Source organism: Homo sapiens, chromosome 7 (assembly GCF_000001405.40).
Source record: "Homo sapiens chromosome 7, GRCh38.p14 Primary Assembly".
Taxonomy (NCBI): Eukaryota; Metazoa; Chordata; class Mammalia; order Primates; family Hominidae; genus Homo; species Homo sapiens.
The window spans coordinates 148012243-148039430 of NC_000007.14; the positions used below are offsets into that span (position 1 = coordinate 148012243).

Sequence of the window (27188 nt, forward strand, 5' to 3'; positions counted from 1 at the left end):
GGGATTTATCTTGCTCTTTCGAGTCCCCAGCTATACCTTAAAAAAGACACTTGTTAATTTTTATGCAGCATTTGTGGGAATTATTTTAGAGATTTTCAGAACCCCTAGTCTGTCATAATACCAGGATAGAAAGTAGAATGGTGCTGGCCAGGGCCTGGGGAGATGGAGAAATGGAACATTGCTGTCCAACCACTGTGAAATTTCAGTTATGCAACAGGCATAAGTTCTAGGGATCTGCTGATCCACCTTGTGCCTGTAGGTAACAATACTGTATGGTGCTCTTCAAAATTTGTTAAGAGGGTAGATCTCATGTTAAGTGTTTTTACCACAATAAAAAAATTGTTTTTTAAGAGTTGAAGACTATTTTCTGAATAAAAACAAAATGAAACCTCATAAGTAAATTCAGAGTTGCCTAGTAAAATGTGTCACACGCATAATAAAAGTGTAAAACATTCACACTCCTCACTCTCATTTAATTATCAAGAATTAATTAAGCTTTTATTTTTCTTCCATAAATTCCAAGTTCCCGATAGCTAACTTCCAAAGCTAAAAGTAATGTTACTTTTGACTCTTTTGCTACAACAAATAATACTACACTAATACCCTGGCATGTATTGTGTGGCTATGTAGAGTATATCTGTAGGAAATGTTGGTGGAGGTGGAGCTGCTGGTTAAGGGTGAGAGAAATTTTAATTTTCTAGCTTTCAAATTATACCATTCAGCCTCCCTTTTGTAAACTGTTAGTTTAAATTTGCTTTTCTGTAATTGTACGTGAGTGACAATTATTAACCCCAGTTAAATGAACAAGGAGTTGATCATCTGGGGGTGTTCACAGTGCTGAAATTATGAGGAAAAGATGTGGTTCAGGAGAAGCTTATTAAATGTACTTTCCTTTTTCTCCACCCCCACACCAACATGCTGACAATAGAAACTCATTCTCAAACTGACCTTATTCAAGGTAAGAAGGTATTGTTCCAGTGTGTTGGTTTCAAGGACTTTCTTCCATGCAGAATAAATAGTAGAACTAAAATATCACTAAACCTCTAAGTAAGCAGATTATGTGCTGTCAACGGTGAATGCCCAATATATCCACAGCGCAAGAACTTAAGTAGACAGAGGTATTAACTGTCATTTTATTTGAAGGAAGCCAAAAAATCTTGTGCTCACATCATATTCCTTAAAACCTCATTCTTCCAGAATGGCTACCACAGTCCCAGGCATCACCTGGAGACAGAGACATAATACCCAGCAGAAGAAAAGAGTTTATTATTTTATGATCTCTCTGTTTGAAGAAGAAAAAATACAACACTTTCTTAAAAATTTCTAAGTGGACTTCCTCTTGTGTATTATTGGCCAAAATTGAATTACTGAATCATATGCCAACCCCAGGAAAATCAATTATTGGTGTGAGGAATAGAATTCCCCTGATCACCTTAGCCTAATCAATTTGTATCCATGACTTACACACCCTGCAACAAAGGAAAATGTAGGACTTGCTATTGATTACGTACACAAGTGTGCCTGATGTGGACAGCAAATAAGTTTGATGGTATTGTTTGTCATAAAGTTAAGTAACAGCATGAGTAATATGGCCCTCTGTGGAATTTCTTGGTGGCAGTTGAGCAAAATTTAAATTGCTCTGAAATGGAGGACTGTGATCACGGAAACAAGGTAGAGTTAGCTGATATAATTTGGTACAAGGAAATTAACCATGGTTGGGTTTTTGAGCCATAGATATGATAATACTCAGAAATATATGTAATAATGCAGCATTCCCAAATGATTCCAATGTTGAGTTCTCCACACAAATCATTTCATTTTCTTTCAGTTGGTGTTAAAGATATTGGAGTCCTCATTTGGAAGTCACTCACTATAGCATTTATGGGAAACCGAGCTCTGAATTACAAACATCGAGTTGACAAACGAAAATCTGGAACAGAACCCACTCACCAGCTGGCGACCACCCAGTATTATTTGACTTTAAACTTGATACTTGAACATGATTTTTTAAAAGAAACTTAAGCAAGTAAACATAAAAAAAAAAAAAAAAACCACCTCTCTTTGACTTGGTCTTGCAATGGGCTTTTTACCGCTTTGAAATGGAATACAGTTTTATTTCCAATAAACAGCAGCCGTAACAAAACTTCACACAGACACCTGGAGAAGGGGCATTTGATGAATGCAATACTATCATTGTTTATTATAGAATTATTTACTAGAATCTGGCAGAGATCCTAAACACCATTTACCATAACTTTGGCCAATTTTCCTAAATCCATACTTCAAACTCTACTGATATAATGGGCTGCTTTAGCCAAGAATGATAGCTCTGTTACTCCCCAAATATTACCAAAACAAAGGCGTGGTCACTTCCCACAAATCCACCTGGAGTATGAGTCACCAGCTGCCCCTTGTTGATATAAAGAGCTCGAAGAATGAACAGTTTTGAAATCCATTAGTGAATCACTGAGAATCCACTCAGTACAGCTTGGAGATCTCAACAGAAGCCAATAATAATTAAAGAAAGAAAAGCTCTGGGTTAAAGGAAAGCAAGCAATCCAGCGGAACCAACTAGAAAACATCAGCCAACTGCAGCGCCTTGCTGGAATTAGGGCAGACCACAGTCTAGTGCCTGCTAGAGCAATTGAAGGAAGCCCAGCTGAGAGAGAAGGCTTCAGTAAAGAAAATTAGGGAAGGTTTTATTTTTATGTGAAGTTCTTGTGAGAAGGATGTTAAGAGAAAGCATTATCTGTTATTATTTATGATTGTTGAGCCCCACAAGCAAGCCTTTGAGTTTTTATAAGCCCACATAGCATGTTTTTTTGTTTTTGTTTTTCCTGAGGGTAAACACTTTTATTTGTAACAGCATTGTCCATGGCTGTCAATGTATCTGATGGAAAATACCTGTCCATAAGCATGAAGGAAATCCATGATCTTCCCCTTTAATTTGCAGAACATTACATAGTATTTTTTTAAAAAAGATGCAAATAGCAGCCTACTTCTTTGCTGCTAAAGAGCTTTAATGGAATTTTTAGTGAATCAGATGTGTAAGGGCTGATGTCCTCCAAGCTGAGCTGGATCTCCCCAGTTCTTCCTAAGGTTCCTTTTGTGTCACATTCAACTCAACAGACAGGAAGCAACTCTCCTGCAGTGAAGGCCGCACAGTGGGCTCTGCTCCTAAATCCAAGGACACAGAGGAGCGCCTGTGTCCCCAAATCAGGAAGGCGGGCATCGGCGAGACCCAGTGTCACAGAGAACGAGCATTTTTGCTGCTACTGTTCTGTGCAAGTGATCACAGCCCAGATGTACAGTATGATTTGGAACCTCCACACTATTTAGCATCCCTTAATTTGTATCCAGTGTGCTAACTGACCTGGAAACATTAGAACCCCATTTCCAAGTTTCTCTTAAAAATCCCCAGGTCCCAACACACACCAACCACTTTCATCCTCAACAGGGCATGTTACGCCAGAGACAGATCCTTCTGCATGCATTTTGCCTTAATGCCAGTAAGAAAATTGATTTTTTGTTTCAGGATTTTTCAATCCAGAAGACAAAGAGATTAGTCAGCAGCTTTTAAAATGAAAGTTTCCAGGTGAGAGATTTCAACACTATTTTGTAGATCTGGTGAATTAAGATACATATTTTCAGTATTTTAGGAATTCAAATTCTAATCCTTTCCAATTCACCAACTCCCTTTATCCAAATCCATGGAATCAGAGTCTAATGAAAGGGGTACTTAGCATTTGATTCCAAGCTTTCCCTTACAACTACATTTACAAGAAAGTATTTTGAAGCTGAGAAAACTGACAGGTCCTGTGGTTGATCTGCACAGTTCTATTTCCTTTGGGCTCCAAATGTTAAAGCACATGCCCTGGCAATTCGGGCACCAGTTTTGAATGAAGACACCCAGCATCTTGCACCTGCCTGCCAATCTCCACGTCCTTTGTAGAGGACCGGGGTGGACATGCCCATCCCCTCCTGGGGAAGTCTGTTTACACTGCAAACTCCTGACTTCTGCATGGCGGTAGAGCTGATTGTGATACCTCTGTCCACCTATGCCAGCCCAGGTGCCTGACTTGTGTTGGGTTAACTATTCTGATAGCTTTGATATGGCCTTCCCACATGTGCCTTCTCCTACTGTGGCCGCTGTCACTCTGTCTCCACTCCCATGACACTTGGATGCTCCAGTGACACCAGCTCCTGCACAGTACCACTCTTCAGCAGCGTTCATATCAAACTGTGCATGTCTAGCTTATCTGGGGGAAGACACTGAAGAGAGGCAGAGGTGGAGACGTGAAAGAAGACAGCAAAATCACAGAGCTTCGCAAGAGAAACTGCTTGCTTAAAGATAATTTCTTCTTCTGATTACAAAAGTTACACATGCTCATTGTCAAAATGCTGGAAAATACAGAGAAGTTTAAAGAAGGAAGAAGTTACCATAATCATACTACCCAGCTAACATTTCGGTGTATTGGTAGTAGGGAAATTTCTGGTTGTCAAGGAGGAAGGTATATATCCCTAATCACAGAGGTTTTTTCATGCTCTTAGGTCCTAAGTTATAGCATTTTAATGGGAGATTTCTAAGACGGAAGGTATTTCTGGAATAGCATTCCTTCCCTTTCTTCTGCAGATCTGTCAAATTGTTCAGCTTTCTTGACTAATAGATGCTATGGATAGAGCATCCCTCTCTCTCTAAAAATCTCAAAAAAAGCAAGTCTTATTTATTCAGGATTTGAAGAGAAATATTCAGGAAGGATATTTCATCAAACCTGATTCATATATTATGCACTGTAATGATGCTAGACACAAAACACAAGATTTCTTGATAGATGGTCAGAATAAATTACACCAACTGCATTAGCTCAGCAGCAGTCCTGCCCGGATCTCAGCACCTGAGCTTCTCATCTGCGTATGGTTGCTCAGCTTGGTCACTGAGACATGCAAAAGGGAAATGGGCATTTTCCCTGAACACCTAAATCCTTTCCAAAATCTGTCAAAATGTTTACTAAAATGTAGCTTCTTTGTTTATCAGACGAACTGTGGTAACAGCAGTTATGAAACTTATCACAGTTCATCTGATAAACTACATTTTAGTAAACATTTCAAAGTGAAGCAGATATGAGAGAGAACAAAATTATTTGTGTTTACATGAGACTTGGAATTGTTAAAATTTTTATATCTAGCATACAAAAAGGCTGCTTATGTTAAAAATTGATAGTAACTAAATATATAAGACCAAAAGAATACTAATAATGTGAATTAAAATGAAATCTTAGCTTGGTTTATAAACTATGAAATTTGACTAAAATCTATTCTGTATATATGTTCTAGTTTTAGAATATAAACTAGAACTAGAATCTAAGTAGTAGCCAATTGGTAAGTAGTGTCTGACTGGGATCTAAACCAGTTCAGATTAAACCATTGCAACACTACTCAGAAAAGCGTATGGTCAAGATCTTCCGCTATGGAGATTAACAAGAAATGCCCATCTATGTAACAGTAATTTAAAAACTGATAGTGGTATATTACATTCCAGTGAATGACGTAAATAATAGCCTTTTTAACCCTCTTGCGAATATACATGGTATTTGAGAAAAACGTTGCTTCAGAACAGGTGAAAGAATATGCCTGGCCAAAATAAGTTCGGCTACCCAAAATGGTAATGGCTTAAGCCTTTTGGTTTTTATCTTTGTTAAAGGCAGCGAGTGACATTTTAATCTTCTTGTGCAGGTTTTTCTAAAACACAAAACGCTTTCTGTTAAAACTCGCCACAAAGGCAGAAAGGGAAAAGCATTCACAGATGCACACAGATTCCAAGAACTCTCTCACACTATCTCAGGAACTCTTACTGCTCCCTAGAAACTGTTTTTCATCAGAATGGGGAAAATAACACGACTGGTACCTGCAATTTCTGACACCAATTTCACATCTAACCTCTGTAGGTATTTAACGGACTCAGGGCCTAACTGAAACTGCTGCTAACTATTGATTTGTTGAGGTGTTCATCCCAGGTGGTTTATGGGGACTCTGTAAATATGGGCTGATAATAGTAATGGTCAAGCTCCCATAATTTCTTAATTTCAGTTTATTTATTTATAATATTTATGGTTGTAAGATCGAATCTGGTGATTATCTGTGCTGGGGGCAGAAATTTCATTTCTAAAGGATGGCGGTAAATATAAGCATGTTGTTGGTTGAATGTTCAAAAACATATTTCAAAAACCAAGTACTAACAGCTAAGGGGAAAAACTCACACAATGAACCAGAAGTGTATGAAACAAGGAATAAAATGGAAAAGGAGAAGGCATGAATGTTGGAGGGATTTAAGTTATGGATGAAACTACAGTGAACATTCAGGGTATGTTGGGAGATGAAAACTGAAGCATCCTTTTACTCGGTAGCAAAAGTGACCGGGATCAAGGGTCACTCCCGGATACAGGTATCCCGGAGCACCTCCACAATGGCTTCCAGCCCAGACCTTTGTCGTGGGAAGGAGTCCCATGCTCTCATTTTTGGCACAAACAGAGTTTGACTCTCACCACAAAACAGCATCAAACAATGTCACAGGCTGTGCTTCTCACAAGGTTTTTTGTTTGTTAAGTTCATTTTCCTGAACTCAAACATTGTGGGAAGAAGTAGGTCATAATATCCATTTCCCTCTAAATTGATCCAGAGCTTCCAGAAATCTGAAGACCAGTGAAGCCAAGGTTTCTTCCAAACATAGAGTTGTGTGAAATCACTATGTAAAACTGTCAGCATTATTTTGGTGGCAAGTTCTGTCCCCATCTTGGCTCTCCTCCCTGCCTCTCCCACAGCCTGGTACAGTCAGCTATAGAGTTCAGCCCTGAATACCTGCTGGATTTACACCTAGCAATGCATCTGTTGATCTCACTGATGTGAAAATCATTTTACAAAGAATTCCCACTGCATTTTCTTTAGCATGGCATTCACATTCCCCCATAGTGTGGTCCCAAATCACTCCTGGTCTTCATCTTCTAGGTTCCTCAGAGGGGACCTCCTAGCATCAGTCTGGGAATTCTCTGTCTCCTATGGGATCCAGGACCTGGACCACCCAGTGTCCTTCCAACAGGCCTGAAACCTTCCTATGTGCAGGTGTGGAATGCTGCTTTCGCTTCTTGCCTCCCAATATCTTATTGATTCTTCAGTTCCTTGTTGTAATCTCCCTCATTCAGAGTTGTTTTGTGTTTGTGTTTTGTTTTGTTTTGTTTTTTGAGACAGAGTCTAGCTCTGTCACCCAGGCTGTAGTGCAGTTGTGATATCTTGGCTCAATGCAACCACCCCCCAGGTCCAAGAGATTCTTGTGCCTCGGGCTCCTGAGTAGCTGGACTTACAGGTGCATGCCACCATACCTGGCTATTTTTTATATTTTTAGTAGAGACAGTGTTTCACTATGTTGCCCATGCTGGTCTCGAACTCCTGGCCTCAAGTGATCCGCCTGCCTTGCCCTCCCAAAGTGCTGGGGTTACAGGTGTGAGCCATCGTGCCCATTCTCAGGGTATTCTTTTTTTGGGGGGAGGGGTGTGAGGGGAGGGTGAGGAGAATGGAGTTTCACTCTTGTCACTCAGGCTGGAGTGTAATGGCGTGATCTCAGCTCACTGCAACCTCCACCTCCTGGATGAACGATTCTCCTCCCTCAGCCTCCCAAGTAGCTGGGATTACAGGTGCCTGCCACCACGCCCAGCTAATTTCTGTATTTTTAGTAGAGACAGGGTTTCACCATGTTGGTCAGTCTGTTTTTGAACTCCTGACCTCAGGAGTGGTCCATCAGCCTTGGCCTTCCAAAGTGCTGGGATTACAGACATGAGCCACCACACCTGGCCAGAGTATTATTTAATTCTCTGAGTAACCAGAAGCCAAAGGATATTGCTTCACCTTTAGTTGCCATGTAATTGAGGCATACCTCATCATCAGCAGTACACTTGGTTTTCTATACTGGATTACACACCTTTTGGAGGCAGGGGCTACTTTTATTCTTCTTTAAATCTTCACCTGCACTAGCATGCTAAAACAAGGAAAAGAAAGTTTTATCTTCTATACTGGAAACAAAGAAAAACAAGGGTAATTCATCTTACTTTTATCACTAGTCTCCGATTAACTACATGTTCAAGTTTACTGTATAGTATATCTATGTGATCTAGGCAGGCATATTTCCCCTCAAATATATAATATGGCAAAATAAAGTGCAAGTTGTGATTGGTGAAGATAAATGACTGAACTTTTACTATCATATTCTCACTCTGCTGATAAATCATCTTTGAGAATTCGTATTAATTTTGGTCAAGAAATACACAAGTTAAATCCATTTTATTCTTTTTTTTAACATTGGGAGGACTAAGTGAATAAAGAAGGAGTGAATTATATGATTGTCTACCCCACAGTTTCAGTAAAACGATATTTTTTCCTGCAATATATTTATGATCTGCCTTAAAACCATAGAATCTGGCTTAAGCCAAAGCAACTGTATCTTCCTTTATTTTTTAACAATAAACACCTTTAATTATCTTCCTTCCGACTACTTTGTTGTAACACACAATGTGTTTGTCTCCTGAGGTGAGCATAAAAAAGGAGCCCAGCATGACTTGAATGCTACCGTAATTAAAGAAAAGCTAAAAAGGTCAAAAACAAGAATGTGGTAAATCTTAAGCAACTCCCCAGAACAGGCGCCACCTGCCACTTTGTGCTGACACCGTCAATCATTGAATCGGTTACTGAATACTTTCTTGCATTTCTTCTTCTCCACCTTGTGCCCACGTTAAGCAGGAAGACATCATATTTTCATTAGCACCTGTTTTGTTTTTTCACCTTCTGTAGACTGTTGAGTGAATTTCTAATAATAAAGCCAAAAGGAAAAATAATGGCAATATGATTGGACAAGCAGTTTCAGAATCAAGGTAGGATGCCTTTTTGTTGGTGGAGGTTTTTTGTTTTTGTTTTGTTTTTGGACTTATTCTCCCTCATATCAAATAAATTTATTAAACACACCTGAACACTTGTTATGTGCCACTGTCGGCCACGTATTAGGGACACGGAAGAACAATAAGACATACTCCCTACCAAAAGAGGCTTATGGTTTAGAAGGAAGACACAGTCTTGTAAACAGGTAAGTAAAATAAAATGTGAGCTGCACTATGCTGGAAGTCAGCCCAGGGTGGCCCAAGTAGACCATAGCCAGTCTACATAAATAGGGAGACACGGGGGACAGCTTTCTAGATGTCCCTAACGCTGAATCCTAAAAGATGAGAAGCATTTCTAGGGTGCCAGAGTGGAGAAAACACCTGACTTGTGGGAGAACGGAAGGCCTCGTGTTCATTCAATGGATCAACTATCATTGGGCATCTCCACCTGCGAGAGACGGCGCTAGCCCCTGGGGATCCAGTCCCCGGTGAGCTGGAAAGCTACTCTGTGCTCTCAGAGGACTTGGAACAGAGAATGCAGACAGGGTGGCAGGAATGCAGGAATGTGCTCACAGTGCAGGAACCCGGTGGCTCGCAGAGAAGGGCACCAAACTTAGACCTGGGAGATCAGGACCCTCTCCCCCAAAACCTGGAGGATTGCTCCAAAGCTGTACCGAGTCAGTGGCGGAGGCCGGGTGAGCGTGGGGAAGGGCATCAGACACGGTATACCTGCTCCACCTTTCCCTTTTGTTTTGTTGTCACAAGAGGCACTACTTCGCTGCCTCCGTCTCCTCTGTGGGTGGAAAGGATGGACCCAAAGGAACAGAAGGCTGTGGCCACTCGACGATGGTTTTGATAGGGACTTATCTTGCTCTCTCTCCCTGGACACTCTCTTTCTAGGCCTGCAGCCTCTCTCCTCCCTTCCCATTTCCAAAGCCTCTGCCCCAACCTGATCCAAGTATTATATGTAAACCTGTCATTAGGGTTCTTTAAATCAAGGCTTTTTGATGACAAAAAGAGGGTTTAAAAAAAAAAATGTGGCTCACGCCTGTAATCCTAGCACTATGGGAGGCTAGGCAGGCAGATTGCCTGAGCTCAGGAGTTCGAGACCAGCCCGGGAAACGCGGTGAAACTCCGTCTCTACTAAAAACACGAAAAATTAGCCGAGCGTGGCGGCAGGCACCTGTAGTCCCAGCTACTCAGGAGGCTGAGGCAGGAGAATTGCTTGAACCCGGGAGGCGGAAGTTGCAGTGAGCCGAGATCGTGCCACTGCCCTCCAGCCTGGGTAGCAGAGGGAGACTCCGTCTCAAAAAAAAAAAAAAAAGAAAAGAAAAGAAAAAGAATCTGTAAGAATATCCAGTGTGGCTTCTGCCTCTGGAATAAGTAATAGTCTTAGTGACCATGGCTATGGGAGTACCCGGGTTCCATCAGTGTGCCCTGTGTGGTTTTGGTCTGGGCTGCATTGGCGTGGCCTGTTTTTTTGTTTTTGTTTTTGTTTTTCCCTTATTACTGTTCGTGGAGTGTTTTAGTTTGCTTTTTTGTTTGTTTGGTTGGTTTTTTTTTGGACTCTGCGAATGGATGTCTAATGCTCTCGTCTCCCTGGCAGGACCTCCTTCCTGTGTCTGCAGTTTCTCTTGTAGCCACACCGTCTGCCCGATCATCAGTGCTAGGAAAATAACGATGAGAACAGACCTTTCGAAGCCCGATTATCAGAAAGAGTGTCTTCATGCTTGAAATCTGAATATAAAACAGACGCCCCTGAAGTGCATCCCTGTGACACTGCCTGTACAGCACCGTTAAATATCTCATCGGCAGTAATAGCTTAAGACTACTGTGCTCAGTCACTTCTTTGGGTGTCACTCATAGCAATCCCCATCCCTGCCATCATCATTATCACACAGCACTGCCATAATGACAATTATAAAGATGTTAGAAAGCTGAGACAAGTCATTCTGAATTAAACCGCAGCTCCCATAGGTCCTCTGAAATTACCCGTTTCCAATATCTCCATTGTTTCCCTACCCAAAAGCAAAAAGGGGAGACAAATGTCTCTTGAGCGATGCACAAAATACATTATAAGCCTGGGAATAATCAAAGCTAACTGTGTTCAGTAGAGAGAGATGCACTGTGACTAAGTTTCACTGAATTTTAATGGCATAATTTTTAGCCCAGAAAGCAAGCTCATGTGTGCCGGAGTGATTAATGATACAGTTTATGCAGCTCATTGGTCATACTTAAATTAGTTTAAATATTCATCTGTTGTTTTGTTATAATGAATCTCCATGTTTCTTTTTATTTCTGTTCCCCTGAGTGTTTCCTCTTGTCTGGTTGGAGGATGTTTGCCTGAATTGGGAAAGAAATGCCAATAGCCCTGTAGGTGACAATGCACCCAGGCTGCTGAAGATCAGGGGAGATGAGGCAATAAACGCTTCATTTCACACTGTGAAATGCACACACAGCTGCACCAGCTTCTTGAGTGAGATGTCTTGGTGGATTCTGTGAGGTGCCAGGTCAGAGATTAAACTTACTGATTTGTGGCACATGAAGCCATTGGATGAAGTTGGATGCTGTTTGCTGTCCCTGGGACTTCCTTTAAAGTCCACACATCAATTTTTATACCAACTCCCTGAAAGTCCTCCTTTTATGAGCATTCATAATTTACATTTTGAGTTGGAAAGTCCTGTAACTCTACCTTCTGGGATTTTATGAATTTTCCTCCCAAATACAAAACTCTCTAGATGCTGAAATTGCATTTGTGGTGAAGAAGGGAAAGGCCATAAGAGTAACTTAATAAGACTTCATGTTACAGAACTGAAAGATCTTTCAAATTCACATAAAAGGAGGCCTGCACTTGACACTGTCCTGACTATATAACAACATCTAGAAGTAGACAGTGTTGCCTTTTTATGCTATATCCTTGGGAGTACAATTTACAAATAGTCTACTACACACTTCTTGCACTTGTGAATCACCCATATAGATCAACCTTTAAAGTGTAAAAAAAAAAAAAAAAAAAAAACTTTATAACATCCTGAGAATTAATCCTTGGAGAGCTGGCTAGATACAGAATGAAAAATTCCAGACACCACAAGTAGTTAGAGCTCAGCTTCCTGGATAAATCAGTTAATTTGGAAATTGTGGCCTCCATACCCGCTAGGCATGTTTGTTCATCCATTGTTCTCCTCCCTATCTCCTAGCCACAGTGAAAGAAAACGAAGTGTGGTGTACACACACTTCTAGCTATGAAAGCAGCTGCATGATACTGGAAACACAGTGTCTCCAAATGTTTCAGCCTTGGGGGCTTCCCTCATTATTACTATCTGAATAAAGTGCTTCAGTCCGCTATGATACTTTACTCTAGGAAACCCAGCTTTGTTCCTCACATTATCAATGACTTCCAGGAGTGTTCAGGAAGGACCCAACTTTTACACTCACTATTCAACATGTTATTACCATGCTGCTAATGTTTAGCTTTCTTCTACATTATTTGACCCCCAAAACAGACACTATAACCCAACTAATATAATTCTGTTATAGCATGTTACAAGTTTTTAGCAAAGGTGAGAATCATCAAATTGCATACGGGATGTTATTATTCTTCATATCCATCAAAGTACAGGAAGTCCTTCACAGGCAGCCATCTTTTTCTCTGGGCCACACCAGAGAAGCCCCCTGCCTTCTCCTTTCTTTGAGTTTCAAGGACTGAACTTCATGTCTCACAAGCAGTCAGAGGTGGAAGCAAATGAAATTGCCTTTGCAAAAATTCTAACAGTGAGAGGAATCTCACCTGACTCCATCTTGCTTCTAACCTCACAAGCTAGCTGACTTTGTTAGCTTTAAAACAAAAATGATACATCCCTTCCTGAAACTAACCCCTCCTTGCTTAGGGACTGAAACCATGTTTGTAAGTCTAATGAAAGGACATAAGATTAGGATTATGGGAGGGGCCTGAATTCTGCTAAGATATATGCATAGTTAAACAATAACCAGCTATTGTTCCAGAGGTACAAGATTTGTAACTTCTCCAACTGCTCCTTTAGATAATATCCATATGGTCAAAACCTAAGATTGGGCTTTGAGGTATTTTCCAGACTTTTGCATTTGGTTTGACCAGCTGATGCCACCTGAACCCAAGACTCATACCAGGGAACTGGCTCAACCAGTCCTGTGACCTTCATCCAGATACTGACTCAGTGCACAAAGACCATTTTGGACATTCCTATGATTTAATCCCCAGTCAATCTGCAGCACCCATTCCCCATCCCCCTACCCACCAAATTACCTTGAAAAACACTAGCCTCCAAGTTTTACTATCTCTCATCCTTCTCTTGGCTGGCCCTGCAATAATTAAGTTCTTTCTTTGCTGCAATACCTGCTATACTCAATGCATTGACTTTTCTGAGCAGCAGGCAAGATTAACCCATCAGGCTGCTATACAAATACTTCCTGTTACCTTAGTACTCAAAACAATCTATGGTCCCTCTTCTCAACCTTTCTTTCTTGATTATTTAATCTCTGTTACCATTCTTACACTTACTTACTTGCAATAACATAATACTTACTCTTTCTGTAATAACTTGCAGGTTATAATTGGATCATGAGTGACCTCTCCCCAAATTCATTTATCTCATCTTAAGCCTAATGAATGAAAAAATTATCCATAATGAGAGAAAACAGCAGGATCCTTTTCATAAAGAGATGTTTGAAAACAAGTATTTTTGGAAATAATATATTAAGATGCATATGTGGCTATATGACCGATTCTAATGTGTTTAGGCCTTGCTAATATATCGGTATGGGACAATCTCCTTCTTAAAATTGTCACACTGTATTGTTTGCTTCAGTCCAGGATAGCAGGACTTTTTGACCTGAAAGGAAAAGGTAAGGCAAGGGCAGAGGTTGGACCCTTGTCCCTTAGGACAAAGCAGGCAGATTTACATCACTGCCTTCCAGGAAATGACAGCTTACCCCCAAAAGTAAAGAAAAAGTGTACTTTAAAAAATACTAGCCAGGTGTGGCGGCTCACACCTGTAATCCCAGCACTTTGGGAGGCCGAGGCAGGCAGATTGCTTGAGCTCAGGTGTTCAAGACCAGCCTGAGTAATATAGTGAGGCCTCGTCTCTACAAAAAAAAAATTTTTTTTAAATTAGTGTGATGGTGCAGGCCTATAGTCACAGCTACTCAGGAGGCTGAGGTGGAAGGGTCACTTGAGTCCAGGGGGTCAAGGCTGCGGTGAGCCATGATTGTGCCACTGCCTTTCAGCCTGGGTGACAGAACAAGACCCCGTCTCAAAAATATATATATGTTTTATACTTCTCACTATAGAAAAGCCATTTAAAGCATTCTGTGTAGGGGGAATAAAGTGAGACACAACCTGAGTATTATAATGAGCACTGAATTTGTAGTAAAAAGAGTAAGTCAGATTCTTGATTTGCCTCCTGCAGGCTTTGCACTTTGAAAAAATTATTTACATTCTCTGGGCTTTGGATCTCTTGTTTTTAAAATTCAGAGTTTGAACCAGATACCCGCCCACCTCATACAGCTTGAAAACTCTACAAGACTCAAGTTTAAAACTTCTGCATTCCAATAAAAGTTAGAACCCTAATCCTCTTGCTACAGGCTAGCAAGATTTCTCGTATGAAAATAATGACACTGCAAATCAGTACCTGAGGTCTACCAAAACCTCATGTTGTCAAAACCAAATTGTCATCTAACTATTTGAAACCCGCCACAACCCTTTCTCGTACCATTAATGTCAAAGCACACCCTCTGAGCAGAGGCAGCAGTCACTGTTTTTTGTTGTTGTTGTTGTTTTTTTCTGAGCTTTCTCACATACTAACAGAGGCTTTGATGCAAAATATAGAGCAGTTTCCGACCTAAGGGACTTTGGACCAACAGATATCATGCTAGCCCTAATTTTTTCTGTGGGTTTTCACACGACTGTGTGTGAGAAAAGCAAGAGATTTCAGATCTAAACAAGACCCACTATACGAACTAATGAAAATATTGGGTGTGTGGTCTACAAAACAGCCTAAATAAGTACTTCTCTCTGAAAGATCCCTTTCTCCATAGGCCTATTCAGATTAATATCTAGTTTTCTTCACATTAAAGTGTATATGACAGTTGTCATGATAACTTAGTGAAAAGTTTAGCCAATAGAATCTATGTAGCACTTTTAGGCTTCTCCTGCTGTCTGAATTTTTTCTTAATTTTCTTTCTCTCAAATTCAGCCCACCTAAAGTTTTTGACAGTCTGTTTACCAATCAGGAAAAGATTTAATTCTTATTTGTCTTAAGGCAGACATCCAGGATGGACAGTGATTATGGGTTCATGGAATGTTACAACTGGAAGAGTTTATAGGATTCATCTGGTCCCTCATTTTCCTACTTGTCAAATGAAAACAATCACCAGGGAATGTGTTGAAAATATAGATTTTTAGTCTCCACTCCAACCTGTTGGGTCAGAATCTCAACAGACACAAGAGAATCTGTACTTTTAACAATCATACCATCAAGCAAATTTGAGAAACGCTGATATAATCCTATGATTTTATTTTGTAAAGAGGTTTATTTTGATTATACATGGTCATATATGAAAAAAAGAAAGGATTTCATAGCCTTTCGTGAAAGAGTTGACTGCTTCATATCAGTTATAAAACATAAATTGAAAATTATTCCTGAGGTTGAAACACTCAACTTGGGCCTCTCAATTTCTGAAACTCTTGACTTTGATGATCGTAAAATGACAATGATTATTTTATGTTAATTACAGAAGTCACCTTCCATTCTCTCCCAACCTCAATAACACCTATAGATGATATCAAATCGAGGCATGTAGAGCCACACACTATTTTAAAAATGTAGCATTCCTTCATACTCATAAACATTCTCTTAACCTTAACATATGAAATAATCTCCAAATTCTCACAAAAATGAGTGCCCACCTGAACTAAAGTTTTTTTACACCTTTAAAAATGTAATTGTACAGACGAAATCGGTGTCATAAGGTTACTTTCACTAAAATAGTATATCCCTCTAAAAACAACTTTCACCCATTTGCAATCACTGGAAAGTCATAGAAGGTGACTAGAGTAACTGATTTCTCTCAAGAGCAAATTCATGCTCTCCAAAGGAGATCAGGGTCTGTTTAGAAAACTGAGGTCTAATAATCAAGGTTGCCACCTGGTAGATCTCATGTTCCACACATTTGGATGACTTGGCTGATTTCAGGAATATGGGAAAAATCAGTTTAACCCAGGCTCTCTGAACCAATGTCTCAGATCAAACTGATGACCCCCGGACAGCAAAAATGTGACCAAGGTGGAAGGATCACTTGAGTCCGGGAGGTCAAGGCTGCAGTGAGCCATGATTGTGTCGCTGCCTTTCAGCCTGGGTAACAGAACAAGACCCCGTCTCAAAATATATACATATGTTGTATACTTCTCAGTGTAGAAAAGCCATTTAAAGCATTCTGTGTAGGGAGAATAAAGTGAGACACAACCTGAGTATTATAATGAACACTGAATTTGTACTAAAAAGAATCAGGCTTAGCCTTCACTTCACAACCCAGGTTCACATGGGTCCTTCCTGTGCATCCCAAGGTCAGGTTTAACCACATCAACCTCAAAGCCTTCCAAACAGAAAGCATTTGGAAACAACACCATCTCCCCAGATCATTCTACAGTATGAAGCCGTGAAACTGATGGCTCTCGGTTCCCCTATTCCTGGAACACAAGTCTTCAGTTTCAGATTTGGGGGAAGAGAAATCATCATAGTATGACAATTGGGAGAAAATTACGTTTTTGTTTTCATATGTCTCCAAATAAAATCCCAATCATATTTTGTACAAAATTTCCATTTTTCATTATTAAAATTTCATTATTTTCAGGCAGCCATTGAAAAAGATTGTGCCCTACCAGAATCTGGATATCCTTTTGGGCAACACACTTTTAACCTCTCTTAGGAGATGTTAATTTGAGTGAGTTTTCACCATTCTATCTACTGCATTCGTAAATTTCCCTTTTTGATTATTCTAGTCATGTAACAGTGAGCTCAGCAAAACAAACACACGCACAACTCCAAAGTTCTATGCTTAATGTCAGTGATAAATTTCACCAAGTAGCTAGAAAAGCAGCTATAATAAAGAATATTCTAATTAGTCTTAGAGGCATTATGTGGCAGAAAATATGGAATTTTTTTTCTTATGCCGAGTTTGCTAATTGCCCCCAACAATAGGTGTGAATCTCTTTTGTTATACTTGCAGAAAATATATAGGTTTGACTTCCATCTGGGACACTCTAGAGAAATGAAGGAGTTGCATAAAACTTTTAATGCTGTGAACAGCTAGACACAAGTTACATAGCTGCTGAAATGAAACTATACAACAATTTCTCTATATAAACACATTCTGAAAACACGTTGGGTAAATGGAGATATTGTTGCCACCCTAGAATTGATGGTTTCCATAAATATCAGCATAGCATCCATACTATCTTTTAATTACAATTTTAAACCTGCGAATATAATACCTTGACTCGATGGTAGTCTCAGAGAATGTATGACTATATTTTATTCCACCACATATAAATTTGTAGAATAGGGTCTTAGTGCTTAGCTCTGTGAGAACTATCTAACTGTCTGATGATAAAAGTTGAGGAGTTGTTTCTGTGACCAAATATGAACATAAGACCAATTATCTGCAAATACTCCTGTAAGGTATATTTCCAGTACTGTTTTATGTTTGGCAGGATTGTGGTGGAGAAGAACAGGGAGATGTTCTAAGTGTTTAAAATTATTTTTACATCCTAGAATCAATGTCTTCTTAATATCATACTCTCTGGTTGGAAATCTTCAGAGGACAGACACTCAGTGAATAACCTTTAACTAATTTCCAACCCATTTGAGTATGCCAGGAAAATAGCATCTTCCAAGTTCTAGTCTAGTTGTTGTATCTGTCTGTGTTGCTTTCCGGCTGCTATAGCCCAGTTAAATTACCAAGTGCTGCTGATCCTTTGGAGCTTTTCTTAATCCTCTTTTGACCTCTCTAATTTGAATTATTCTGTGTCATCAACAAAGATGTAACAGTTAGGTCTCTGTGAAATCACAAACTAGAATTGCAATTAGAGTTTCTTAATCGTTGTGCATATTGTATTGTTGCATGGGGAAAGAAAGTTTTGGAATTTAATTAAAAGAAAGGGGAATTGTCAATGTACTTAATATGCCATTATATTTTTTCTTTTAAAATATGGAGTTAAAGAAAAGTTTGATTGTCTTTAATAGTTGCAGTTATCTACCAATGGGGACTACTGAATACATATGCTGGGGAAATTCAATGTCAAGGAATAATGTATGCTTGAGGAAAGTGTCATTAAAAAAGAATCAGAGGATTAGGGATTCTCTAAGTTTTTAAAAATATATATATTCTTAGTTCTTCCGGTTCTGGGCCCATTCCTTTGTTTGTAGAGTTACAAAAAACATGATTGTTTGGTAGTAATTTTCTTTATCCAGCTCTTTTTTTTTTTTTTTTTGGCAGGTGGTAAAGTTTATTCTTGTAATTTCTTGAGAAGCGTACAGCATATTTTCATTTAGATGAAGTTCAAAAACAAAAATAAACTATTAAGTGAGTTAGGGCTACAAAATGTGGTCAACTATAAAGAATATCAAGGGAACCATAAACCTGAAATCTGGGAGAGCAGTTTCATCTGAGTCAGGAGGAAATAAGTGGATGGAATCAGGCGGAAGCACGTAGCGTAAAAGAAAAATTGCACCAGACACTCATTAAAAATGGCAGAGAGACTTTCTTTGAAACGATTGTAATATGGATTAAGACTATTGCAGTAGGGGAGAGATTGAACTAGACTCCATTGGCACAAAAGACTGGAAAGTTTTCAAGCATGAAGTGAGCCAGAGAACAGGTACTGGAAGATGGTGGGACGATGTGATTAGGCCATCTGCATTTCCTAATTGGCACTTCCAGAATTTAGGCTCCTTACCCTTCCACAGAGACTGAGAGACTGGGGCCCTCCCTTCTTGATAACAACATTTCAAAGGGATAGCTCCCGGGTCCTTAAGAAAAACACTCCTGGGCTGTAAAAGGTTTACCTCTCAAAGGGCAGAGTAAGAATTTACAATTGCAAGTTTTCTAATGTAAGTGCTCTAAGAAAAGAGAAGTCAAAGGCCTAGAGTCAGGAAGAAAGCTGTCTGAAGTTTAGTCAAGCTGAAAGGAACTTAAAGCCTCCTTGGTCAACAGTAAGCTTCAGTGATAATGCTGAAGTCTTGTTTTCTAAAATTAGGTGGGAAGTCCGCTGGTCATTGTATCATGACACCTTACACCTTACACATACTTTAAACATTTTCTTTAGTATTTGGTAGAAACAGAAATACTACTTAAGTGCTACTTAATAGAAAGTAAATCAATAGTATTCAACAGAAGCAGAAATGTATTTAATAGCACTAAATAGAAGTATTAATAGCATCCAGTAGATACAGAAATGTTCGGCCCAGGGTCAGTGGTGTTGCCCAGGGGAATAGCCTTCCTGGGTAACATACGCTGAGATTGCTGAGTGGACAAGGTATTTCCATGTGCCGAATTTACACAGTGCACCTCTTTCCTTTTTCCTGGCTGCACTCGGTCTCTCTGAAGTGAATGGCAGTATTTTTACCCTCGATTTACTGAGGAGGAGACTCAGTCAGAGAGGACATTAATTGTTTCTTCCTAATATCACAATAAATTCTCATTCCCTAAGGCTATGTCACTCCCTAGAACTAAGTTATCTACTTAGGGAAGATCATTCGTCACTGCCAGGTCTCCAGGGTAACATCAAGGCTTTATTGTTGCAAGTCGACAAATCGCCTCCCATCTGTCTGCCCTGACTCTGTGACTGCAGCCGCGCGGTGCCCTAGATGTTTCCCCAGTGGTCTGAAAGAATTAATGTGCCTCCCTAAACATCTAACTTAATGCTAGGGAGGGGCTTAGGCAATGGGGGAAATCCGCCTGGAAGAGATGTTCTGGATGTCAGTAGGTTGTGCTAATCTGGCTGTGGTCATGGCTCTATTGGGGAGACATTGACAGTCCATCTATGTCTCACTGAAAGATCTTTGTGATATCTACAGGGGCACTGGGGAACTAACATTTCAAGAAAATAATAGCGCCAGCAGGTACAGATGGTGTCTCAGACAAAGTTTCTGGGCTCTCCCTGAAGCTTGACATCACATCAGTGTGTGTGCAACTCTGCATGTGGTTGGTGAGTACAAGGGCAAGAGACAGAGAGGGTAGGAGTCAGACCGAAGGAGCTACCGTGCTGGAGCCCAGTGAAAGGTGCCAGGAGAACTCATGGCCTCTCTGCTCAGATCTCAAAATCAGAGGAAATGACAAAGAACCAGAAGAACAAAGGAGAAGTGACATATGGGAGGAGACACCCAAGGGAAACGTTCAAGGTCCCAACATGACACCTTATTTGCAGAACATCCCCCAAAACAAAGAAATCCTCTGCACTTGTTCAGAGGATTTCTGATCAACAGCAGCCAACCCACAGAAGCAGCAGCCCTTGGGCGCTAAGCAGAAGAGAGAACCAATGAGGAGCCATTCACCTCACCTGCTGACGCGAAGGCTGCTTGCCAGTTTTAGGGGTTTTCTATGTTGATGAGCACTTTGGATTGTTCTGAGAAATTCCCCCTCAACACAAAACACACTCTTTAATGAAGAGATCCCATATTCCTGGCTCAAAAATTTGACCCTTGAATCATTTATATCATATCATTTTGTTGTAGTCCATGAATTCATGAAAGGCACAGAGTGACCCAGGGCTGGATATCAGCCAGGTTCCACGCAGACAGAGTGACTGGGATGACTGGATCCCAACACTCGGTGACTCTCCCATTCACCAAGCTCCCTAGTGGTCTAGAATAATACCCAGCCACACACCTAGCGAGGGCTCATAGATCTTAAAAAGTTAAAGAACTACTGCCACTGAGCAGATTTTTCATGTCTGTATCTGCTTGCCTGCCAGATTTCCTTCCTCTTCCATCTCATTGCTGAATTTAAAAATACTTCTAAGTCTATATACATTATAATTGGGTAAAATAAGAAATTCTTCGTAATTTAGAAGATGTATCTCTTTCCTGAAGACTTCCTCCTACTCCACCCCCAATCTCCAGAGACACATTTTTACCCTTAAGATCCTTTTTTTTCCTTTATTTCTTCTAAAAAAAAAAAATGGGATACATGTTCAGAACGTGCAGGTTTGTTACATAGGTTACATGTGCCATGGTGGTTTGCTGCACCTATTGACCCATCCTCTAAGTTCCCTTCCTCTACCCGCCACTCCACAAAGGCCCTTGTGTGTGTTATTCGCCTCACTGTGTCCCTGTGTTCTCAATATTCAACTCTTACTTATGAGTGAGAACATGCTTAATCCTGAGATTCTGAGCAAGACAACCTCCTTTAGAGATGTCTATTGCTTGGAATGTTTTAATCTGTTAGATTTTTGACTGCACATATTAGCTTTAAGAAATTAGAATTGAGCATTAACATGTTCAGTTTGTTTTCACTATTAATTTCTCCATAAATTATGTTAGATTGCATTTTTTATAGTATGTGCAAGTGTATGTGCATATACGTATACACACAGAGAGAGGCTTTGAGCTAAGGATGGTGGATTGCCCACATCTGTTTAAATCTCCCTACCAGGAAACTAGCAGCAAGCATATTACTTCTTCTTACCCCCTCCTATATTCCTGCCAAGGAGGGAATTTAAAAACTCTTTCAAGGAGAAACAGGTAGCCAGTGATCATCAAACATTAGAGAAAGCATTCACCGTGACAGAGGCAGGAAAAAGAAAATTCTAAAAGAAAAACTCTAGAATAAACAAAGACATAGTAGGAATCATAAAAAAACTGTTAAGTGAGCAATGCTGACATGCCTGCTCCTGGTACCATTATTAGCAGAAAAGTAGATACAAAATGCTTTGATATAAATGAGACATCTATATCTATCAGGTTAACATAGAGATAAAGTGAACAGATGAATTTCAAGTGATAGAATTTCCTGTGTGTAGCACCCACATTAGAGGTTATAAGAGGATAAAATTTAAAGTAAATTTGGAATCACCCAGTCTTACGTCCTCATTATCAGGGCTATGGTTTAATTGTTCCCCCCAAAGTGCATGTGTTGGAAGGTTGACCCCCAATGCAGGGATATTGGGAGGTTAAGCCTAATGGGAGGTGTTTGGGTCATAAGGGCACCACTCTCATGAAGGGATTGATGCTGTTATCTTGGAAGTGGATTCATGGTCTTGGGAGTGTATTTCTTATAAAAGCATGAGTTTGACCCCCTCTTGCCTTCTGCCATGTTATGACACAGCAAGAAGGTCCTTACGAGATGCCAGCACCTTGATCTTGAACTTCTGTGCTTTATAAATTACCCAGTCTCAGGTATTCTGTTACAGCAGCACAAAACAGACGAAGACAGAAAATGGGTACCAGAGAGAGCAGTGTTGCTATAGTAAATACCTGAAAATGTAGAAGTAGCTTTGGAACTGTATAATGGGTAGAAGCCTGGAAAATTTGGAGGAGTAGGCTGGGAAAAGCATGCATTGCTATGAACAGAACATTTAGGGTAATTCTGTTGAGGGCTCAGAAGAGAAGAAATATAGGGGAAGTAGAGATTACTAAGTTGTTGTGATCAGAATGTTGGTAGAAATATGGACAATAAAGGGCATTCTGATGAAGTCTCAGACAGAAATGAGGAATAGCTTATTAGAAACTGGAGTAAAGGCCATTCTTGTTATAAATTGGCAAAGAACTTGGCTGAATTGTTCATGCCCTAGGGCTTTATGGAAGGCAGAATTTAAGAGTAATGGACTCGGATATCTGGTGGAAGAAATTTCTAAGCAAAATATTGAAGGAGTTGCATGGTTACTTTTAACTGCATATAGTAAGATTAGAGAGAAGAGAAATGATTTAAAGACAGAACTTATAATTAAAAAAGAAGTAGAGCAGAAAGATTTGGGAAATCTGTGGCCTGGCCATGTAATGAACAGCCATGTAAAGGTGCTGCCAAGCAACCCTTTAATAAAGGGATTAGTACAGCTAGAAAGAAGCCAGGTGCTATTTATCAAGACAGTGGGAGAATTACCCGAAGGTGTTTTGGAGATCTCTGAGGCTCTCCCTCCATCACAAGCCCAGAGCTCTAGGAGGGCAGAATGGTTTCAGAGGAGAGTCTCAGAGTGCCCTCCTTGGTTTCTCTGCCCAGGGCGGCCTAGGGACTCTACTCCCTGCATTCCAGTGTAGCAGTCCTCGACCACTCCAGCTGTGGCTCAAGTGGGCCCAGGTGCAGCTGGTGCTGGTGCTCCAGAAAGTATAAGGGTAATCTTTGGTGGTACCTATATGGTGCTTATTTTGTAGGCACACAAAGTACATTAGCTGTGGGGCCATGGTAGCCTCTACCTAGATTTCAAAGGATGTGTTGGACAGCCTCAGGGCCCAGGCAGAGACATGGTACAGACAGAAGTCATAGCAGATTTCCCACTATGGCGATGCCTGGTGGAGCCGTGGGGGTAGGGCAAACCCCACAACCCTGACCCCAGACCTATAGAGCTACTAGCATGTAGCCCCAGCCTGGGAGAGATGCAGGTATGAAACTCCAACCCATGAGAGCTCCTATGTGGGCTGAACCCAGCAAAGCTATACGGGTGAGGCTGCCTGAGACTTTGAGGGCCCAACCTCAACTCCAGTGTGTTCAGCACAAGAAGTCAAACTTTATTCTGGAGTCTTAAGATTTAGTGTTCACCCTGTTGGCTTTTTGGACTTACCTGAGACCAGCTACCCCTTTTTCCCTGCTTATTCGTCCTTTTCAAAATGGGCATGTCTATACTATGCCTGTTTTAGTTCTAGGATTATATTTTGGAAGCACATAACTTGTTTAACTTCACAGGCTCATAGCTAGAGGGAAATTTGCCTCAAGTGAATCATGCTGTTAGTCTCAACCATTTCTAATTTAGATAACATTCTGGACTTTGGACTTTGAGTTGGGGCTGGGATGAGTGAAGAGTTTAGAGTCTATTGAGATAGATTGAATATATTTTGCATGTGAGAAAGACATGAATTTGGTGGACCAGGGATGAAATGCTATAATTTGAAACTGTTCCCCAAAGTTCATGTGTTAGAAACTTGATCCCTAATTCAGCAGTGTTGGGAGGTGGGGCCCAGTGGGAGGTGTTTGGATCATGGTGGCACTGCCCTCATGAAAATATTAGTGCCATTATCTTAGAAGTGGGCTCATGGTTTCTGGGGCGAATTGCTTATAAAAGGATGAATTTGGCCTCTCTTGCTCTCTCTTGTGATGCTTTCCATGTGATGCTTTTCCACCATGTTATGACACAGCAAGAAGGCCCTCACAAGACACGGATGCCTTGATCTTGGATGTCCCAGGCTCCAAAGGGACGTTTTCATTCCAATGGAATGAAAAACAATTCCATTCTTTATACGTTACTGAGTCTCAGGTATTCTGTTATAACAGCACAAAGTGGACTAAGACGAGCAGTTATGTTATTTACCCATAATCATATAATATATTAGCTGCAGAATCAAGTCTAGAATTCTGATTCCTAATTTCTAGTCCCATGTGATTTCTATTACCTAACTCCATAAAATGGATGGAAATGTCTGATTCTATAAGGAATCTCAAAGTTCCACAGAGTCAACATATAGAACACATAAAGCCAACTTTATGTGTTTTTTTAAATGTAAATGTGACTGATATCTAATAGCTAAAAATTCTTATCAAATAGCTAATTGTTACATAATTAGCACAAGTGGTAATAATTCTAATTACTTTCTTTCAGATTTTAGAAGAGCTATGTTGAGAAGATTTGCTAGGCCTCTTTAAAATTTTATCCTAGGAAGTTTTAAATGGGGGCTTTACTTTTCTCTTGTTAAATTTTCCTTAAGCTCAGAATCCAGTATTGCCCACTGATCAATATTTTCAAAGATAGATGGCATAGCACTCAAACATTTGAAGACATTACTAAGGCCTTGTCTTGTGAGTTTTCAGAAAGCAGAAGTCACTTATATCTTGCTCCCCTCCCCCATCATCTCAAACTATGTCGAAATCCTTCCAAAATGGCAATCTTCATGTAAAGAATTATTTAAAAGGAGCAGCCATTGGCTTCTGACTTAATATAATGGAAGGAAATTATAAGGCAGATAGTATGTGTATCAGACTGTCTCTGGGCCATGTCCAATCCGCAGCTGTGTGCCCACTTGTTGCTTCTCTTGGTTTGTAATAAATTTTAATGGGTTACATCTAGGTCAATAATAAAAAATAAGCACAATGATCATTCAATTCACTGAACTCTAAGTCTAGCTACTAGTGTTCCAACTCGTATAAAATCTGTGTTGAACTATAAATACAGTAGTCCCCCCTTGTCCGTGGTTTTGCTTTCTGCAATTTCAGTTACCTGTGGCCAACCATGGCTTGAAAATATACAGTATTTTGAAAGAGAGAGAGAAGAACCACATAACATAACTTTTATTACAATATATTGTTATTATTTTTCTATTTTATTATTCTCATAATCTCTTACTGTGCCTCATTTATAAATTAAAGCTTATCATAGACATGTATGAATAGGAAAAAAACATAGTATACACAGATGATTCTTGATTTACAATGTTTTGACTTAAAAATTTTCTCAGCTTTACAATGGTGGGACAGCGATCCATGTTCTTTGACTTACAGTAGATTTATTGGGATATGACCCCATTGTAAGTGGAGGAGTATCTTTTAGGATTTGGTACTACCTGTGGTTTCAGGCATCTACTGGGAGTCTTGGAACATATTTCCCATGGATAAGGGGGAAACTACTGTACAATTGTAGGACTTCAGTATGTAATTAGGAAAAGAAAAATTAATTTGTTTTCATAAACAAATAGATCATTATAGTTTACATCTGTAAACAATCATGGTATTCTTCTGTCAAAACCTTTCCATATCTTCTTATTAGTTACAAAATACAATCTAAACTATAGAGCATGGTCTTCAAGGCAATTCAGTCTGATGCCTCAACCTGTCCATCAACCCCATCAACTGTATTGTTTCACTTCAACCCCAGATGCTAATCACTCCATATCATCCAGACTGCCTTGAACGCTGTATGCATTTCATGAATCTGTACCTTTCCCAAGCTGCTTCCGCAGTTAAAATTCTCTGATCCTTTGAGACTCAGTTCAAGTATCTATGATCCTAGGAAATCTCTTCAACACCCCCTCTTTGTCCCCTCTCGTCTCAGCAGAATCCATTGTTTCTTCTTCATTAAAGTTCCCATAGCATCTAATTCTATTTTTATGAAAGCATTTCTCAGTCACACCTTTTTTGCCATTTCTGTTTCTGTTTCCCTCCCCAAATGGTGAATCACTAGAGGAAGTCAAGGATCATCTTATAGTATCCTTGTGTCTCAAGAGTTTAGTCTACCCCTCCACATGTTTGGTACCCATTAAATGTTTCTTTAATTGGATTTATGTAAGAGCTTAAGAGTATTTCCCATGATTTCATTTGATGCCCATAGAAACTCCATTAAGCAGGATGGTAACTGACTCCATTAAAGCAAGTAATCCAACTGTTTTAGGCTTCTCCAAAGAGAGAGAGAGAAGCAATAGGATGGATGGATAGATGGATGGATGGATGGATGGATGGATGGATGGATGGATGGATGGATAGATAGATAAGGAATTTATTAGGGGAATTGGCTCATACAATTATGAAAGCTAAGTCCCACAACAGGCCCTCTTTTTGTTAAATCCTTTTTGTATTAGTTAAGGGCCTCCAGAGAGACAGAACCAATAGAAGATATACATCTGTATCTGTACATATGAGAAGAGATTTATTAGGAGAATTGGCTCATGCAATTGGGAGGTTGAGAAATCCTACGCTAGGCTCTCTGCAAGCTGGAGAACCAGGGAAGCTGGTAGCATGGCTCAGTCTAATCTGAAGGCCTCAGAACCGGGAAAATTATTGGTGTAACTCTTAGTCTGAGGCTGAAGGCCTGAGAACCCAGGTGGCCATTATGCAAGTTCAAGTCCAAAGGCCAGACAGCCTGGAGTTCTGATGGCCAAGGACAGGAGAAGGAGAGTGTCAGCGCTCTGGGAGAGACAAAAAAAGAATTTGTCTTCTGCCTTTTGTTATCTCTGGGACCTCAGCAAATTGGATCATGCCTGCCCACATGAGGGAGGATCTTCCTCACTCAGTCCACCAATTCACACCCCAATCTCCTCT

General features: G+C 40.1%; 1 protein-coding gene across 1 annotated transcript in view, besides 1 other annotated feature; it reads left to right on the top strand.

Annotated features, from left to right (window-relative positions):
- The window catches only part of CNTNAP2 (contactin associated protein 2), a 2304198-nt gene that overhangs the window by 1895442 nt on the left and 381568 nt on the right, over window positions 1–27188 (top strand). The gene's annotated exons all lie outside the window — the stretch shown is intronic.
- Window positions 8161–8947: an enhancer, noted in NCBI's record as "OCT4-NANOG hESC enhancer chr7:147717495-147718281 (GRCh37/hg19 assembly coordinates)". NCBI's record gives its function as "activates a minimal SCP1, AML or CMV promoter by ChIP-STARR-seq in primed H9 embryonic stem cells {active_cell/tissue: H9 hESC(primed)}" and the evidence as "EXISTENCE:reporter gene assay evidence [ECO:0000049][PMID:30033119]".